Below are 18,710 nucleotides of genomic sequence, written 5' to 3'. Positions count from 1 at the left end.
CTTGTGCATCATCCCATGGCAGAAGTGGAAAGGACAAGAGAGCATGAGAGAGCAAGAGGGGCCAAGCTCACTTTATAACAAAAACACTCATTCAATAAGGAAGCCAATCCCTCAGTAATGACATTTCCATTCATGAGGACCGAGCCCTCGTAACCTAATCACTTATTAAAAGTCTTTCCTCTCAACACTGTTAGGTTTGGGATTAAGTTCCAACACATGAACTTTGGGGACACATTCAAACCATGGCCCTGAGGGAGGTTGAAGTGAATGAGCTCTGTTACAGGATGTTCTCCAGCAGCATGAGGTCAGAAGAACTGCTGGATGCTAGGTGAACTGGTTTTGGAATTCCCAGCCATTCTGATCTCAAGACATCTGTATGAGGCTGTGGGGTATGATGGATGTGGGACCTCTGACCAGACTATTCAAGGAGAGACCTGGTAGTCTGGCAGAACAAATAGCATGAAGGAGTGAAAGAACTGGAGACCAAGGCGAAGTTGGATTCCAGGGTTCATCTGTGCATAGGTGGAATCTAAAGCCACAAGGTTGATGAGCTCTCCAAGAGAGAGAGGTTAGAGTGTGAGGATGAAGGAGCCTAGGACCAAGTCTGGAGGAAATCCAACATTAAGTAGTCAATTTTAAAAGGAGAAACTTGTAAAGGATCCAGAGAAGAGATTGCTAAAAAGTCTATGAGTGAGGCAGTGGTATGTCACTAAAGCAAAAGGAAGAGAGTGAGTATCAAGAAGCAGGCATGTCCAGCAGGGCCAGTGTAACTGACAGGGGCAGTGAGCTGGGACTGAAACATGCCCTTTGAATTTGGAGGCCTCCGGTGACCCAAGCAACAGTTGTTCCAGTGGAGTGATGGGATCTGAAGCCAGCCTGGAGTAGGCTGGGGAGTGAGAGGGGTGAGTAACTGTAAAGAGGAAATAGGGAGGGACTTTTTCAGAAAGTTTGGTTTAAAGGGCAATAGGAGGAGGGGTATTCAAGGTTGTAAAAGGTCTATTTTTAAATGGAAAAGACTTACGGGTATTTAAATACTATTGAGGGAAATCCATTTGGGAGGAAACTAGAGAAAGAAGAGATCATGGACAATGTGCTTCCCAAGAAGGCAGGAGAAGATGGATCTTAAGCCATGTGGACAAACTAGCCTTGTTTGGTGGGAGAGAGAAAAGGCCAGGGAACAGGAGGGAGGTGGGTGGGCTTGTGTGCTTGGTGGTGGGAAGGCAAGAGAATTCTGTGAAATGGACTCAGTGTTCCCTGTGAAATAGGAGGCAGTGTTGTAAGCCAAGAGTGAGCAAAGAGGTGGGAGAATCAGAGGTTTGAGGAAGCCAGCTCAAGAAGAAAGTGTGTAGCAGAGCTGATGAGATGAAAGTGGCATGCTTGCTGGGCAGTGTTGAGAGCCCATCTGAGAATAGTTATAATAAATACATGGTGAAATTGATCTGCCCTGTTGTAGCACTTTCTCAATAAAACTGAGCAGCTCATGCCCTATCTCAGAGCAAGAGGAGAGTTAGATTCATTGAGTTGGATTTTTGCCAGATGAGTGTGATAAAAAGATTGCCAGAGTTTAGAGTTCTGAAAAAAGTGTTATGGAGTGGTGGACCATGAGATCTAAGTTTGAAAAGGATGGGAATGAGAAAAGAAACTAGCTGATAGAGTGGCAGAGAGTGGAAGGAATTAATTGGTTGGAGGTTCCAGTGAGAAGATACCTGGAGAAAGAGTGAGATCTATGCATAAAATGAATCATAATGACAAGGCTTAGCTGGTTTGGGGACTAAATGACCAATGTGGAATAGAGAAAAAGGGGACGAGGAAGCTAGAGTGTTGGATGGTCATCCATGTAGACCCTGAGGTCTTGTGATTCAGAGGCCAAGGTTGTATATGAGTGAGGATGGCAGGGAGGGGACAGCGCTGAGGAGGGGAAGAGGGCACTACAGCCAATAGCCCTGGGCAGAGACTGTATGCCCAGCCAGAAAGAATTGAGAGCATGCTTATGCCTGATATGCCACAACTTGAAATTTATTTTTTGACTGAAGATGTTGTCCCCTTTAAGTTGCAAAGGTCCTGAGAAAGAGTAATACACTAAGCCTTGTGAATCATTTACTCTTTGGTATAAATTAGCTTCTCAATCGTTTACAGAGAATACTTTTTGGCCAGGAGAACTAAAAAGGCATATGGAGTGAGAGGAAATGGCTAAGCCTAGAAAATGTCATCACAGTCATCTTAGGAACCAAGGCAGGGCAATTGGCTCAGTGAACCAAGCAAATTGTAATCAGGCAGGTGGAGTTCCATTGGCTCACAACAGCGCTTGTGAGCAGACAGGGGGCACCATGATACGGGACCAAGGCTTTCCAACTCTTTGGCTGGACTAGTGTGAAAGAAATCTGGGCAGAGATCAGGATCCCGAACAACTCAGAGGGACTTCAATCTGCCCCTCTAAAGACCATTTCTAGGCTGCGGACTGCTGATCCCGTGGCTGTAAACATTCCAACAGGGAAGGGAGAAGTATAGAGGCTGGGTTATTATAGGTCTCCCTCATTATGAGAAGCAGAGCACATTCATACATTTTGGAAAGCAGATCATGTCAAACTTTTATGTCCATCTATTCATCCATCCAAAACTAAACATTGATTGATTAATTTCTACATGCAGGTCTTTTGATGAGGAGTATACAAAGATGAATGTAACACGATCCCATCCTTCAATGAGATCATCATCTAGGCAAGGGAGAGAGAGAGAAGTTGGACGAATAATTAAAATGCTGTTTGATAAATTCCATAATAGAGGATTATACAAAATAGCTGTGGAATATAGCAGAAGTAACTAGCTTTGTGTATAATTCTTGTTCCAATTAGGATATGGAGAGACTAAAACAATAGTCAGAAATGTCCAAAAAAAAACCAAAAAAACAAAAAACAGTAGCCATTTGAGTGGGGAGTAGGTGTAGTATGCTCTTTCAAAATTATTAAAAATAAAGAAGGCTTCAAAAGGTCCTAGTATCTGAACAATCATGCTGATGTTAGTATGAAAGAGATATGTTTTGCTGCAGTTTTGAGATGAAAAATATTCCAAATAAGTAGGCAGAAATATTTTGTGAGTTAGAGAACCTATAGAATGAAGAGAATCTAAGCAAAATAATATAACAGTGATTATACTTTTTGGCCAGGAGACCTAAAAAGTTTCTGCTTGGGAACTTGTCAAAGTGTCCTTGAGGCTGGTTGGAAGGGGATCCCAGAGATGTCCCTATACTCTCTATCTTTAGGACATGGAGCCTGAGATCTTAACAGGACCTGTGTCTCTGAAAACTTCCCCACTTGCCTCCTTTCTCCTTCATTTATCTAAGACCATGGTTTGCGGCTTGACATCATAGCAAGCACAAGGGTGTGTGGTCCACATTTGTAATAATTAAAGTAATTTCTGTCTTCCTCCAACAATAGTTTCAAAATTATTTTTATAACAATATAACTTTCACTTATTCATATTTGGATATGTTTTTTTTTTTTCCAGTGGCAGAGAAGGGGGTGGATTTACAGTTTTGGAAGGAAATTTTGCGTGGCCTGCCACTCACTATTTTATTTCTGCCACATCTTTCCTACCACAAGGAGCCATTGCTGTTGAGCTGGCAATTGTCAAGGACTACACAGGAAAGGTTCAGTCTGGGATTGCGTGGGTTTTGTGTTGCCTGTTCTCCAGGTTTAAATAGCTGGATATCTCCGTGATAGTGCTCATAATGCAGTCAGTCATGATTCTTCTATACAAAGAAATCTTTTTAAAGAATAACAATGTGCATTAATTAACTTTATCCTCTTGGAGGTGAATAAGTTCAAGGTTGCAATGGAGTCTAGAAGAAAATAGAACAGTAAGGCACAGATTGGTGCCTTCGAATGTGAATGTGAGCTGTGACTAATTACTACTTGACCTAAGATTTTCCTCTCATCCTCCAGGAATCCTTTTAACAGTCTTCCTAGCTCTTGCCTGTCCTGAACCTCTGGCCCACGTTCCTTCTGGGTTGGCTTTTGCCTGGGATCTCTGCTCCTTCCTCTCTCTTCAAGTCCTTTAAAAGACAATTGACTTTTTTGTTTCCTTTCCTTTTGTGGTCAGAGCACAAAGAAAATGAAAAGCTCCTGTGGTTCACAGTCTGGTTCCCTTCCTATCAGGTCGTGGTTACCTGAAGGCTGAGTCCCCGGCAGAGGAAGTTTCTGCTCTCTGCCTCATGCCCAACTCCCTCTACTCCCCTGGCCTGCCTTTTCTGATGAATAGACTCCTCAGATACACTAAAGATTCAGCTCCAGAGCCTGCAGTGTGCAGTATTGTGCAGCCTTCTTCTGACAGCCCTTTTCTTAAAGAAGCCAAACTCTTTTGGCCCTTCCAAAATTTAGAATATAGATTAAATATGCCAGAGCATGTGTTAAGCAGAGCTGTATAGTAGTTTTCCTATATCCAAGTTACTAATTTTCTGGGACTGCCAACATTTCCATTTTAGGCTTGTAAGATTAGAAAGAATAATTTGAAAATATGTCAAAATTTTACATTTTCTTTACATTTTACATTTTCTCATAGGCCCATGAGTGCAGATTATCTAGGAGTAGATTTTTTTGGTTCCTGGGCCATTTTTCTTTTCTTCCCATGGATTGTCACCCCTTGCCCATTCGCTGGAGGTTAAAGAGTGTATAAAACAAACTCACAGCAGTCTGCATTATTTTAGTAAAGGACTAAAGTTGAAGCGAATGGAAGATGGTAGGAATATAAAACCCATACTAAAATGAAGTGTTACTTAAGGTTACATTGCATGAAAGAAGCTTTGATGGCTGATAAGTGGTGTTGAGAAAGAAGAGTTGGGTAGTGCTTCATTAGTGCTGTCCGTGGAAGAAGATGTGACCCCTCTGGAAAGGGTGACCTCCATACCCTGTGCTTGGTCTTCTCTTAGACCCTCGTTCATCAGTGCTTTCCCCATAACACACATGCTCACACCCCTTCATACACACAGGACATACCCTCACCTCCACTCACCCCCACTCACACACACAGATGCAGACACAAGCACACACGCTCAAACCTCTCACATCCACTCATACTCATTTACGAAGATGCACACTCATACACACTCTAACACACACTTATACCCATATGCATATACAACACTTTCTGTAAAGTGTGATCTGAGGACAGGGTATTTTTCTTTAGCAGAATGAAGTGTAGAGGAGATCTGACTGATAATGAGATGATTTGGTTAACTGTGTGATTTTAGGCCGGCCCTTCCTCTCATTGAGGCCTCAGTTTCCCCACCTGGGCAATTAGGGCTATGAACCACATAATGCTAAGTGTGTTTCTAGTCCCAGAGGAACAGGAAGAGAATCTTTTTTCATCAAGGTGCTCTCCCAACACTCCTGCACTGAGGAACCCAGAGGAAATGCTGAAAAGATTAATGAGTGAATGGATAGATGAATCTGTTTCAGCCTTCCTGGTTAATGATTTTGTAACCTGCTGAGTTGGTCTGGTATCTTCAGACCTATTATTCAGGGTGACTTCTTGTCAGCTTTTTCCAGTCTTCCAAATGATTCCCCTGGGCATAGTGCCCATCCCTCCTTCTTTCACCCCCAACTGGCGGTAAGCTGTGCTGGAGACCAGGCCCACACTCAGGGCTGTTTGGAGGTGGTGGTGAGGTTGCCACTCTGGCTGCAAACAACAGAAAAGTGAGTCACCTTGGGGCACTGAACTTAAAGGGAGAGGCATCAGTGACTGCTGCTCGGCCTTCTAAATGCCCAGGATGCACAGGGTCGCTCCCCTTTCACAGTACTTTGCCATAGGCAATGTGCATTCCGCATGTTCACAGCTATTAATTACTTCATTTGGTTCTGATAGAGCTCTGAAAAGAAGAGAGTTCAAATATTCTTATTGTGATTTTTGATAAAAGGTTAAGTGATTTGCCTTTTGGTCACAGCTAATGAGGATTGGAGGTGAGGCTGCCATGGATGTTTTTGATTGACAGACCAGAGTCTCTCCTGGAGCTTTTTATCATCTCTTAAGACTATGGATGCCTGAGACTCATCCCCAGTGGTTATGGGGCTTGTGGTCGCAGGGTGGGGAATGAATGGGAATCCAGCTTGTTAGCTGAATCCCCAGGAAACTGTATCTTGTCCAGAGGACAGGACATGCTTGGTGTGGCCAGGAAGCTGTCAGATGTGGGAAGAACATTGGGTTTCTAATGCTGAGGTCTGGCTTGGAATTCTACTTGACACTGGACTCACCCTCTAACACTCAACCTCTTCATTTGATCATGAGGAAAATGAAGCCTACCTTGCCTGGGATAGCCCCCCTTGTAAACACACACACACGTGCACACACACACACACACATGCCCAAGTATTAGCTCAGGAAGGTAATGTTTGAGAAAACCCTCATTATGCATGTGAAGGATTGCATTAGTTAACTTCTGTTGTGGTAACGAACAGCCTCAATGGCTCATAACCATTAAGCACTTATTTCTTATTCACATTCATGAGAGCTGCAGGTTAGTGAAGCTTTGTTGGACTCTGTTGGGCTGGACGGAACTGGGCTCTATGTCCAGAAGAAAGGAGTAGCTACTCTCTGAGACATGCTCTTCTTATGGTAGAGGGTAGGAACAAAAAGGACAGAGCCAAATCACACAAGTATATTTTTAACTGCTGCTCAGACATGACTTATATCACATCCACACTCTCATTTTATTGCCCAAACAAGTTCCTTCTCTTACCCTAAAATCAGCAGGGTGGGAAAGTTTATGCTTCACCTGCAGGGAAACATGGACTGGGTGGAGAGGCAGTGAATAATTGTCAATACTCAATACAGTTTATCAGAGGGGTGTTATTATACTGCCCACGGTTATAGACCTCATAAGCTACTACTCCAGGGGCTAAATCAAACTCTCCATTGTCTGACTGGGTGATTGTCTTCTAGTCTGAGTGGTTTCAATCCCACCCTGGCACTTTTGTGGCTGTTTCTGTCTCAGTGTTTCTTGCAGACCCTTCTTCTCTTCGGTCTTCTGCTCCAGCAACGCACATGTCTCAGAAGAAAGGCTCTCACCTTCAGGGTCCATGCAATATAAATGTAAACAAGGAGAGGTAGCCATAAATCTCAGCAGCTTTTGTGAGTTCTTGGCACACCTATCATTCAGTTTGGCATGGACAAACGTACTCATGCTTCTCTTTGGCAAGAAGGACGCCTGCAAGGTGAGAGACCACAAAGAGAAGAAAACGGACCAGCATTCAGGACCCCCATGGGTGAACCCATTGTAGTTCAGGGAGGCAAGAAACCTGAAAATACTTCAGTGAGAGGAAGAAGAATATTGTCAGGATGAATTCTCCTGCCCACCATTCTGGGACACAGTCTCCCAAGATGAGGAGGGGACCTCATGGCTGGGACCCGCAGCACCTGTGGTTACTGAGGGAGGCCTCAGCTAGCGTACATTAAAAGAATGGTTAGGAATTGAGTTTCAGAGGGCTCAGAATCCTGTAACAAGCCTCACCTTTGTGTGATGGTGTGATCTCTTCAGCAGACTTCATCATCATTGGACATGTTATCACTGAACAAACTTTTATCCATACCTAATATCACTGTTTCATGAGCACATATTAAGTGCCTCTTGGGGGCTGCATCCATCTCTAAGGCTATGAAGATGAACAAGCCCTGACCTGAAGGGCTCACATTCTGAAGCTCCAGACAGAGTCATGATCCATAGCTTATATCCCAGCAGAGGCCCAATCAGAGACATATGCACATCATCCAGGGGTGACTCAGACAAGAAGTTCTCTTCTCCAACTGCCTTGTTCCTATTTCCATAATGATAATAATAACTAGCATATTCAGAGGACTTTAGTCTCTTTATTTCATTTTCTCCTTATAAGTAACCCTAACCCCAGCATACCTGACAGTGTAGCAGCATGACAGAGAGACAGTCCTGGAATTTTAATCCTGACTCAGCCACTTATTAGCTGTGTGACCCTATGTGAGTTATTTAACGTCTCTGAGCCTCATTTCATCAACTGTAGAATTGGAATAATAAAACTTTATTTTCAGAGGTATTGTGAGAATTAGAGCCAAAATGTACGTGTTGCCTAACACAGTCACTGGCACAGTCTTTGCATAGTGTCTACTTTCAGAATGTTGTGTTTTCTAAATTTGATCACTTCCCACCAATCTCACTGTAACATCCTTTGCTAGTTACATGAATTCTAGCTGCTGCAACAAACAAACCTCTTGACTTCAATGGTGTAACACAAGAGAAGCTTATTTTCCCCTCATATCAGAGTGTATGCAGGTGTTCACAATTGGCAGGAAGCCTTCTCCATGGGGGCTTCAGGGACCCAGGCCACTTCCATCTCCTAATTCTTCAGAGTTCACTGCTCCCAGCAGACAGGCAAAGAGAAAGCAGAGACGACATGCTGCTTATTAACCACCTTGGCCCAGAACTGAAATGCAATACTTCTATGTATATTTCATTGCCCAAAAAGTCAATGTCCATATGTAATGGCAAAGGAGGCTGGGAAATGCAGTCTCCTTGTGAGTAAAGGGAGAAGGTTTAGGTGGTGGTCTCTGCCACACACCATTTCTCCCTCAGAACACTGCAAATGGTCTCCTTGCACTCACTGTCACCCCAGGATAGGTATCTCCACATAGTAGCGAGAGGAATCTTTTACAAGTGTGTGTTGTGTTATATTATGCTCCTGTGCAAAACCCTTTAAATCTTCTTCCACATCCATGATAGAATCTAGTCTCTTCGCCATGGCCAGCAAGGACTTGCAAGATCTGTCCCCTGCCTATCTTTGATCTTATCTACTATACTCTGCCTTTCACTCACTTTACTCTAGCCCTACAGATCTTCTTCCTGTCCTCTAGAACATGCTGGACTTATTACCAACTCAGGGACTTTGCCCTTGCTGTCGCCTTAGCCTGTGACAAACTTCCATCTTGCATTCCTTTGGTTCTTTGCTAAATAAAATATTGCCTTTCTAAAAAGGCCTTGTTTGACCTCTTAACTACTTCTCATCATTTAAAAATTTGTATTAGGACACATTACAAACAAAAAGTTATAGAGAATATTAAAGTGAAGATCTCTACCAACATTCAGCTTTATCAAGGCTTATAATGAGGATCTTTATAATTCAGTTTTGACTATGGTCCAAAATCAATATGATGAGTGCCAAGTAGTTTCATATTCCAAAGCAGGGTGATAGCATTAACTGGTCACCCACCACCAGCTTATAGAATGGCTGAGGCTGAAGAGGTCTGAAGAGAGAATTTCTTTGTAAAGAATGGCTGGGGTAGTGGCATGTCCTCTCCCCTGTCTGTGGAAGAAAGAGAGGAATGTTTCCTCTTAACTTAATAGATGGTTGCATTATAGGACCACTCAGCCTGTCCTGTGTCTCTGGAGCTAAGGCAATTGGAACTGTGAAGCTGAGCAGAAAACCTGGCTGGAGCTTGCAGCCTGGCAGCAGAGCTGAAGACTGTCTAGGGGAGGGAGTGCGTCTTCAGAGTGAGCTGCATGTCAAGTGATTGGGGAAGGGTGCACATTCTCCCCATCAGATTTTGATGTGAGGAAGGGAGCCAGTGTGGGCCCTACTCAAGAGGGCTACTATGCAAGCTCCTGTTTCCTGTCAATGACGTGTCTGGGATAGAGGCTTTCCGTACAGCTTTTCCATTGCTTTGTCTTCCATTGGAGTCTCACTTCCTACTGGGTAGTTGGTGCTAGAAACTGGCCTCTCAAACAACTCCCTGTACAGTCTGAAACTTAGATGAGTTAGAGCTTGAATCTAAATTGTTCATTATTCAGATGAGGCTACTGCCAGGCACACACCATAAAAGATAGAGTAGTAGAGGGGAAGGCTCCCTCCCCTAGAGAACAGCCCTCCATGTATCTACAGCTGGTCCCCTGACTTGCCTTTGCAGTAATAGAAATTGAATAGTGGTTGACTCTGTGTAAGAAATGACTAGAAAGGGTCATGAAGGAACTTTCTAGAGTGATGGAAATGCCATCTATTTTATTATGGGTGTTGGCTAAATGGATGTGTACATGTGTCTAATTTTGTTGATAAATTATGATTTGTGTGTATGTTTGCAATTTTATTATGATGTGCCTAGGCTTGGCTTTCTTTGTAGTTAATTCTACCTGTGATTCATAGAACTTTTTGCATCTAAAGCTTGATGTTTGTAACCACGTTTGAAAACTCTTCATCTTTATGACCTAAAATACTCTCTTCTATCCAATTTTCTTTCCTCCTTTGAAACCACAATTATATGTATGTTAATGTGGAGGACGCCATGGGGGACTCCCTCAGCCTACACTACCTTAGTGCCCTTTTCAGCTATACTCTTCCTGTGCCTTTGGGGAGCCCACATACCTTTAGGTCTCCATCCTAGGGCTGAAAGGTCTTGTTCTCAAGTCAACAAAACTCTACCTGTCAAAATTTGTTTCAGGGTAAACACTCAAAAAATGACCATTCATTATCCTTCTTGTCCCATGGGGAAGTTGCATTGTCATAATAAGTCCTCATACCCCAAAGGCATCATGACCCAGAGAGGTGCAGATGCATTGGCAGACTTTTACACACCATGATCTCTGAAAAGGAACCATTGGGTAGAAAACATTGTAGTTCCTGGTCCTTTGGGCAGCCATTTTGCCTTCCTCCTTTGAAATATAGTCTCATTTCAGTTAATAAAAATAGTATTTGTACATAATTTTATAATTTTAAAGGTTATTTCCCATAGATTTTAAATAATTCAATGTTTAGATGGCATATAAATAAATATTGCTCTTTTATAGAGATGGAAGGTGAGGGTCTGAATGCCTCCTGGTGTGCTGGGTGCCTTACAGACATCACCACACTGGCTTATCAGGAGATGCATGTTCGGTGGAGCTTCCCCAGCCTGCTCACAGCTACCCAGCCACTTGATTGAGTACTGGGTTCCCCCTTGGGTCTAACACAAAATTCACAACTTGCTATCACACCACAGTTCCTTAGAGTCTCAGAGTTGGTAAATGATTCTAACCAAGGCTGACAGCAAGGTTACTCTAACCTAAATATGATTTTCCTCCTTTCCCCCCATTTTTACCTTTATTAAGAAAATAACAGTATAATAATAAAGAAAAGAAAAGCAAGGGGAAAAAATAAATAAATTTATATGTAATACAATTATCCTAAATCAACTGCTTTGATTTTCCTGTCTCCTTCTATTCCTTATCCACATGCCTTCATATTTTATGTTCCTTTGATGTACCCCAGATATCATCCTGGATTTCTTCTCCTGATGTTACACCATGGGCATTTCTCCATGTTGTTGTATGATCCTCGATGTTTCCATGCTCTGTGGCTGTAGGCTGTTCTGCTGCGAATCACAAGCTTCCTCTGTTCTCTCACCCTGCTCAGCCTCCCCACAGCCTCCCACAGCTGGACATCAGACTTCAAGATGAAGGCACTGTGTCCCTCTGTGTGTTTAGAAGGGAGCACATTTCTGAGAAGTCTCTTTTCCTAAGACCCCAAACTGGAACATCAAATAAGAACAAATATGTCTACAATGATTTTTACTAGGGTGGCTCATCAACAGGTGAGCCTGTGCAAATATCTGCTTGTAACTGCTATATTGAAGTCCAGGAGGAAATGGAAGGTAACGACTCTCTAATGCCTTCATTTGCCCAGACATTCAGCAGGAACGGCAATTTCACTTAGGGGAAAATTTCAGCAGGAATCAATTTTTCTAAATCAAATTCAAGGGTCACTGATTGTTAAGGCAACCATGGGTACGCTAATGATGCTATTCATAGTTTGGTTAATACGTATGCATAATAAGAGAAAATTATTTACAGAGATGATGAATTTAATATTGGGAGTGAAGCAGATTTACAGCCTGGAAAATGTAATTGCTTTTTGATATCAATTAAAGGACTGTTTCAAAAATCAATAAGAATTTTAAAGAATAGCATGAGCTTGAATGAATGATAAGTAACTTGAAAGCAATTTTAAAATCTTACAGTGAACAATTCTCCTGAGCCCCATGAAGGGCCTTATGGGCCTTTGAGGAATAAGGTAAGATTTTTAAAAGTTTCATTGATTCAAAATGAAAGCAAAGTTTGCACACACCACTGAACTGCCACTTCTGTTGCTACATAAAGCCATGTTGGACATGGAGCTCTGGGAGTGATGAATCAGAGGGAACTGGAGAGCTTGGGAGTAGGTGCCTTGTAAGCTGGAGCCAAAGAGCTGCTAAGGAGAACAAGGCCTGATTAGGGGGATGAGGGGAAGGTAGGCAGCCCCTCAGTTCCGGAGCTGAGCATTGGAAGACAGGGCATCCAAGAGATATCAAAGCATCAAAGGCATAAAATTTTGTCACTTCACTGACATCCATTGTGCATCTACCAGATGGAGGCTCCTTGATAGGCTCTGCAGAGACAGGGATGAGCAAAACAGGGCCTTGTCCTTGAGGGGTTTGTGGGTTGGAGGAGAAGGCAGATGTACAGACAGCAACAGGATGATGAAACAAGTGTTCCAATTTATGGAGAACTTACTAATATTACTACTACATAACAGGCAATGCACCAAGCACTTAGCATGCACTGTTCATTCAGTCCTCATAAGAAGCCAATTATCTCCATTTTACAGATTTTAAAAATGGAGACAAAAAGAAGTTAAACAATCTGCCCAAGATTACTTGACTAGTAAGTGCAAGAACTGGAAATCAAACTCAAGCATTTTGTTTTTGTTGAAGGAGATAACACAGTGGGATTTAAGCCTTGAACCTTTGTTTTGTGATGCCAAAGTAATGGCCACAAGACCAAGGAGAGGCCCATAAAGGTGAATGCCCAATGCTGTAGGGTTGCCCAGGAGAAAGAGAATCACTTGGCCTGGAGGAGGTAGGGGAAGGCTCAGCTAGCCAAATTTCCCAGAGGCAATGGCATTTGACCAACTTTTCAAAAATGAGTGGGCATGGGATTGGCAAAGAACATAAGGAGGGATATTTTACAAGGACAGAATTATAGCATATGCAAGGAGGCAAACATGAGCCATGGGATGGCAGAAAATATTCTCTCTGAGTCATCTCAAACAATTGGTATTCTCTCTGTTTTTAATATTCCCCTTGACATTTGCCTGTGACAATGCCCATTGACAAGTGATTCCTGACTACCATCTGAAGGTGCCTGATTCCCATGGAGCACTGGGTCAGGAATTTGAAGACTAGGGTAGGGGTTCTGCTGCCTCTCCCTAAGTGGGTAACAATGGGCAAGTTATTCAACCTTGCTGAATCTTGATTTCCGTGTTTGTAAAATGAATATGTAATATCTCATTTCTAAGATTTTGTGTGAGGTTTAATACCAAATATGAGTCTAAGATGTCTGGGATGGGGTCCAGAAGAGAATAAAGATATGTATTGTATATATTAATATCTGTGTCTATATATATGAAACCACATAACATACTATCAACTGAGATAGAGAATCATAAGATCCTACAGACTTGGAATGAGGGGACCCCTAAGAGCTGATGATTTGGTTCAGGCTCTGGATGGTGCCTGATTCTCGGTTGAGCATGCTTTCTAGCACACCATATTCTAGTATGTAGCATAACTCCAGGTACCAATGAAAATTTTAAAATAATAATAAGATAAACATAAATCCTGATTAGGTACTTGGGCATGAAATAAGTCTGCCAACAATTGAATCCTGGGTCCATTATCAGCTACCTGTGAGAGCTTTTGTAACTTAGTAAACTTCACTGTGTCTTTGTTTCTTCCACTTTAAAATGGAATACTAATTATACCTAGCTCATCAGATTCTTGGGAGGATTAAATGAGAGGATGAATATACATGTTTTAGGACAATATTTGCTCTATATAAGGTGTTCAAAAAGTGTCCATAATAATTAATATCAAAACACTGCTCAGTTGCAACAAATGGTTTACTTCTTCTAATGGGTTCTCAACACAACCAGTGTGGGCCTATCGGTACAGTTACAAAGTATTTGGGCACTGGCCTAGAGGTTTCAGCTAAAAGGTTCAATCTAGATTCTGTTTTCCACAGGGGCTTGCAGAAAAGGACTCCCATTGATCCTAAACAAATTTAGATAAATTCTATTGGTTTACAAATTGATCTTATGTGAGTGTTGGCTTGTCTTCTACTGTAATGTTGCCAAGAAGAAATCAGCATCATATTGGGATGGAGGAGGTACAGGAGGATCGATTCTAAAATCATTGTAAAGAAAACCCAAGAAGCAAGCTATGCCACAGAGAGCCTCGCTCATCTGAGAGAGCTGGTATAACAAAGGGCTAAGTGAATGGATTCTGGGGGTACCTTGGGCAAGTCACCTTGCTTTGTTCTGCCTCAGATACCTCATTCATGAAATGGGGATAATTATAATATCTAATTCACAGGTTTGTTGTAAAGGTTAAATGCATGTACATATGAAGTGCTTAAAAGCTAATAAATGCTGAATACTCATCAGATATTACTGGTAACACACAGATCAAGTGCAGTAAGCCTAAAAGGAGCTCCATAAAGGTAGGTATAGGGAAGGAGAGGATGGGAATTCTCGCTTCTTCACCTTTGATTTCTCCCACCCTTCTAATGACATCACTTGCATAAGTTCAGTTTCTAGCAGAAAGCACTTACTAAGGACTAGCTATGGGCCTGGCAGTGTGCAAGATTCTGTAGGGAACCCACAAGGAGGAGCAAGATGTAAGTACCAGGCACCATTCCCACCTCCAAGGAGCTTTCTATCTGAAATTAGGACACTTCTAAGCAGTGTGTGCGTATCTGGTTGTAGGCACTTGGTATCGCTTTTGCTCAGGCAAAGAGAGAGCAAGAGCTGGATACATACTCCGCTTTAAGCAAGAATCCAAGATGGGGTGAGGACATTCCAGGCAAGAGAACGTCAGAAGCAAAGCCAGAGAGCCTAGTGTGAGAAGTTAGGGGGCTATGAGGAAACCAATCTTGCTGGCAAGATAATTCATCTTAAGGGGCCGCTGCAGATAATGCTGTTAGCTGGGCAATGAAATATGGCCATGCTGATTGTTAAAGTACCGAAATCTGCTCCACATGCTGTCAACAACCTGGGACAATTGCTTCCCCTGACCTCCTGCCCCGAGAAGTTTCCAAAACCTAGAGCTAAAGATTAATGCTTAGCACCACAGGGGGCCTTGAGGTCCAGTATTCTTCAGCACTATGGCCACTGTCCATTTTGATTGGTCAGTGGAAAATCATCCCAATTGTCCATTCACAGAGGGCCTCGAGGGCCAGGCTGGGGAGATTTTGCTTTATTCTCAAGACTCTGAAGACCCACTGACAGTCTGCTGTTCATAAAATTCCCTTTGTCATGGAAAGACACAGCCAGGTAATGATCCCTGCTGCATGGCATTTGCCCCGTCCAGCCTCAGTGACAGGAACCTGCTCTCACCCACAGGTTTTCCCATGGGATCAGCTGTGCCATTGATGTCCACACTGAGGCCCCCAGACTAACATAGGACCACAGGGCTGCTCAACTGTCCTTTCCCTAATCCCAGTTTTAGCACTGTAATGGTTAAACAGTCACCTCTCCCATTTTTAAAGGAAGAATATTGGTGGTCACTTTGCATCTGCCTCTGCCTTTTGCTTTCCCTGTGCAAATAATTGGTTGGTGAAGTTAATTCTTTCTCACAGAGTTTTCTTGTGTGTGTGCTTATCTTTCCCAAACTCAGGCCAGCCCTTCTCTGTGGACCAGGGAGACCCCTCCAAACCTCTTAATCAGTCAGCACAGCCCCCATGGCTAAGTCCCCTCTCGGCATCTGCCACTTGATCTTGTCTCCTAAGCTCCCTCCTTGGGCAGAAGGAGGAAGGGGCTAATAGGGAGAGAGTACAGATGCTGGCTAGTCCTAAGTTGACACACCTGTTGATGACATGAATGGCCCTCAAAACATGCTAATGCACTAGAGAATCGTTTGGACCAACCTGGAAACTTCCTCAGGGACAAATTGGAAATTGATTTCTGATACTTTTAACTTGAGGGAGGGAAATACTCCTTATTCTTAAAAAAAAAAATCAGTAAGTTCCGGTAATTTTAGCAAGGAGGTTGCTTATATTGGACATTTTGATTGATTCAGAAACATAATTATTTTAATTCAGAAATACACAAAGTTACCTTGGTTAAAATAATCATATTCCTATCTTGGGCTTAAACCAATTATAGGATTCTTTGTTCCGTTCTTTGTAGGTGGTTATTGAGCAAAATCTGGATCTCCCAGCTGCTTGATTTGCTTCTTTTTCAGACTCAAGGCACAGAAACAGTGCTATTTCTTTTCTCTCCAGCACTTCAGGGCCAAGGAGTTTGAAGAAGTCCAAGGTAGAGCTTTCTGGAAAATCCTCTGGAGAGGTTGATCAGAAACCTTCTCCCACATAAACAAAGGACCCAGGAAGAAGCTAAAAATGGGCCATGAGATTGTCTTTATTCATCAAGCCTGAAGTTTTCTGACTCTATCTTTCTTTTCCCGTGGCCACTGTTACCTCTCCAGAACAGACCCCATCACCTGAATTCTGCCTGAGCCTCGACAGATATGCTCAGCTGCTCTCCCATGCTGGCTGTTGTTACCCCAACCCACTTAAAATTCCTTGAGGTCTTAGAAGCTCTCTCCCACCAAGGTGCCGAAAGAAGTATTTCACAGGTTCTCAGTGACAATTGTTTATTGAAATTTACACTGATGAGAAGTGGTCCCTATTAAGGGAATTCAATCCAAGGAGATTGGCTCTATACTTTGAACCGCTGTGGCCAAATAAATAGATGACTGCTTGCTGCAATTATATTGCTGTGGTCTTTGTATAAATAGATTACCAAGAATAGGACTCCACACATCTATCACCTTGGAAAGCTGATTTGTATAATCTGGACAGGTGGCAAGGAAACGTAACTGTCTGCTCAAGGGAGAGCCTGCCTGGGGCAGAGGAAGAGAGTCTGAGTAGCATCCCAGTTAAGTGCTCAAGCCCTGAGGTCAGGCTGCCTGCATTTGAATCCTGATTCTGCCACCAATTTTCTAAGTGGCATGGCAATGTTCTTAAACTTCCCTTTGTGTCATAGTAAGCAACCGAAAAATGGTGCTGAGGATAGAGAACTCCAAAAATAGAAATTATTGCTAGAAGGTTCCCTTGCAGTGGATATCGGGGATTCAATCTGTTAGTATCCAGAAACTAGTTTTTCTGTTACTTTTGTGAAACCACTCAAGATCTCTGTTTAACAAGCCTCCCAAAGATCTTTTTTCAATATGTTTATATGTCTTGGGGATTACAGCACTTGTGGGTTTCAGCAGAACTCTTTTTGCAGAGGTCTGGTGGTGTAGGAAAAGGGCTGTAGACTAGGATCTGGGAGACAGACATGTCTATGTTGAGACCTGCCTCTGGAGCACTGGCCACCCTCTCCAAGCTGCTGCAGTTCTCTGAGATCCAACTGTCTCCCCTGTTACATAATCACCACAGTTAAAATATCAAAGTTTATATCAACCCCAAAAGTTACCTCCTGCTTCTTTGTAATCTTTGCCTCCATCCACCCTTATTCCTAGGCAACCACTGATCTGTTTTATGTCAATACAGATCATTTTGCATTCTCTCTAATTTCATATACATTGCATCATACTTTATGCACTCTTTTATCTGGATACTTTCACTTAACATAATTATTTTCACATGCATTCATGTTGTTGTGTGCAACAACAGTTTATTAGTTTTCATTGCTGAATAGTATTCCATTGTGTGGATATACCACATTTGTTTAGCCACTCATCTGTGAATAGACATTCGGGTTGTTTCCAGTTACTTGGTTATTTCAAATAAAGCTGCTTTGAACATTTATATATAAGTCTCTGTGTTTTCATTGAGTAAATATCTAAGGGTAGAATGGCTTGGTCCTATGGTAGGTGTATATTTAATTTTTGAAGAAACTACCAAACTGTTTTATTCTTACTAGCAGAATATGACAGTTCCAGTTCCTCCACATCCTCTCCAACCCTGCTGTGGCCAGTCTTTAAATTGTAGACTTTTTAATGATATCTAGTGGTACTTCATTGTGGTTTTATCTCACATTTTCCTGATGACTAATAATGTAGAGCATCTTTTCAAGTGCTTGTTGGCCATTTGGATATCTTCTTTTATAAGTGACTGTTCACATTTATTTTGCCCATTGGTTTGTCTTATTATTGAGTCACAAGAATTCTTTGTCTATCCTGGATTCAAGTTCTTTGTCTGATGTTTGTGTTGTGAATCTTTTCTTCTAGTTTGTGGTATGCCTTTTGTTTCCTTAATGATGTCTTTCAAAGAGCAGAACATTTGATTTTGATGAAGTCTGATTTATCATTTTTTCTTTTATGGTTTTTTTTTGTGTTCTATCTAAGATATCTTTGCAAACCTCAAGATCACAAAGATATTCTCCTATGTTTTCTTCTAGAAATTTTATACTTTTGAGTTTTACATTTAGATCTATGATTCATTTTGAGTTAATTGTTTTGTTTGGTGTGAGGGAAAGATCAATGCTCATTAGTTTTTACCACACAGCTAACTGGACATCATTTTTGAAAACACTCTCTTTTCCCTATTGAATTGCCTTAGCATCTTTGTCAGAAATCAGTTGATCAAATACGTGCAGTATATTTCTGAGCTCTCTATTCTGTTCCTTTGTTCTATATGTCTGTCTTTTTACCAATATCACACTGTCTTGATTACTGAAACCAGC

The 18,710-nt window shown here is 42.1% G+C and overlaps 1 long non-coding RNA gene across 2 annotated transcripts in view; it reads left to right on the top strand.

Moving 5' to 3' along the window:
- The window catches only part of LOC105374122 (uncharacterized), a 161,587-nt gene extending 143,754 nt beyond the window's left edge, over window positions 1-17,833 (top strand). For both annotated transcript variants that reach the window (XR_924528.4, XR_924527.4), the window contains exon 7: window positions 16,304-17,833. This is a non-coding gene — a long non-coding RNA (uncharacterized LOC105374122). The remainder of the gene's footprint in view (window positions 1-16,303) is intronic.
- Window positions 17,834-18,710: the final 877 nt, after the last annotated feature.

Source organism: Homo sapiens, chromosome 3 (assembly GCF_000001405.40).
Source record: "Homo sapiens chromosome 3, GRCh38.p14 Primary Assembly".
Taxonomy (NCBI): domain Eukaryota; kingdom Metazoa; phylum Chordata; class Mammalia; order Primates; family Hominidae; genus Homo; species Homo sapiens.
This window is presented reverse-complemented; position numbering and strand designations above follow the sequence as displayed.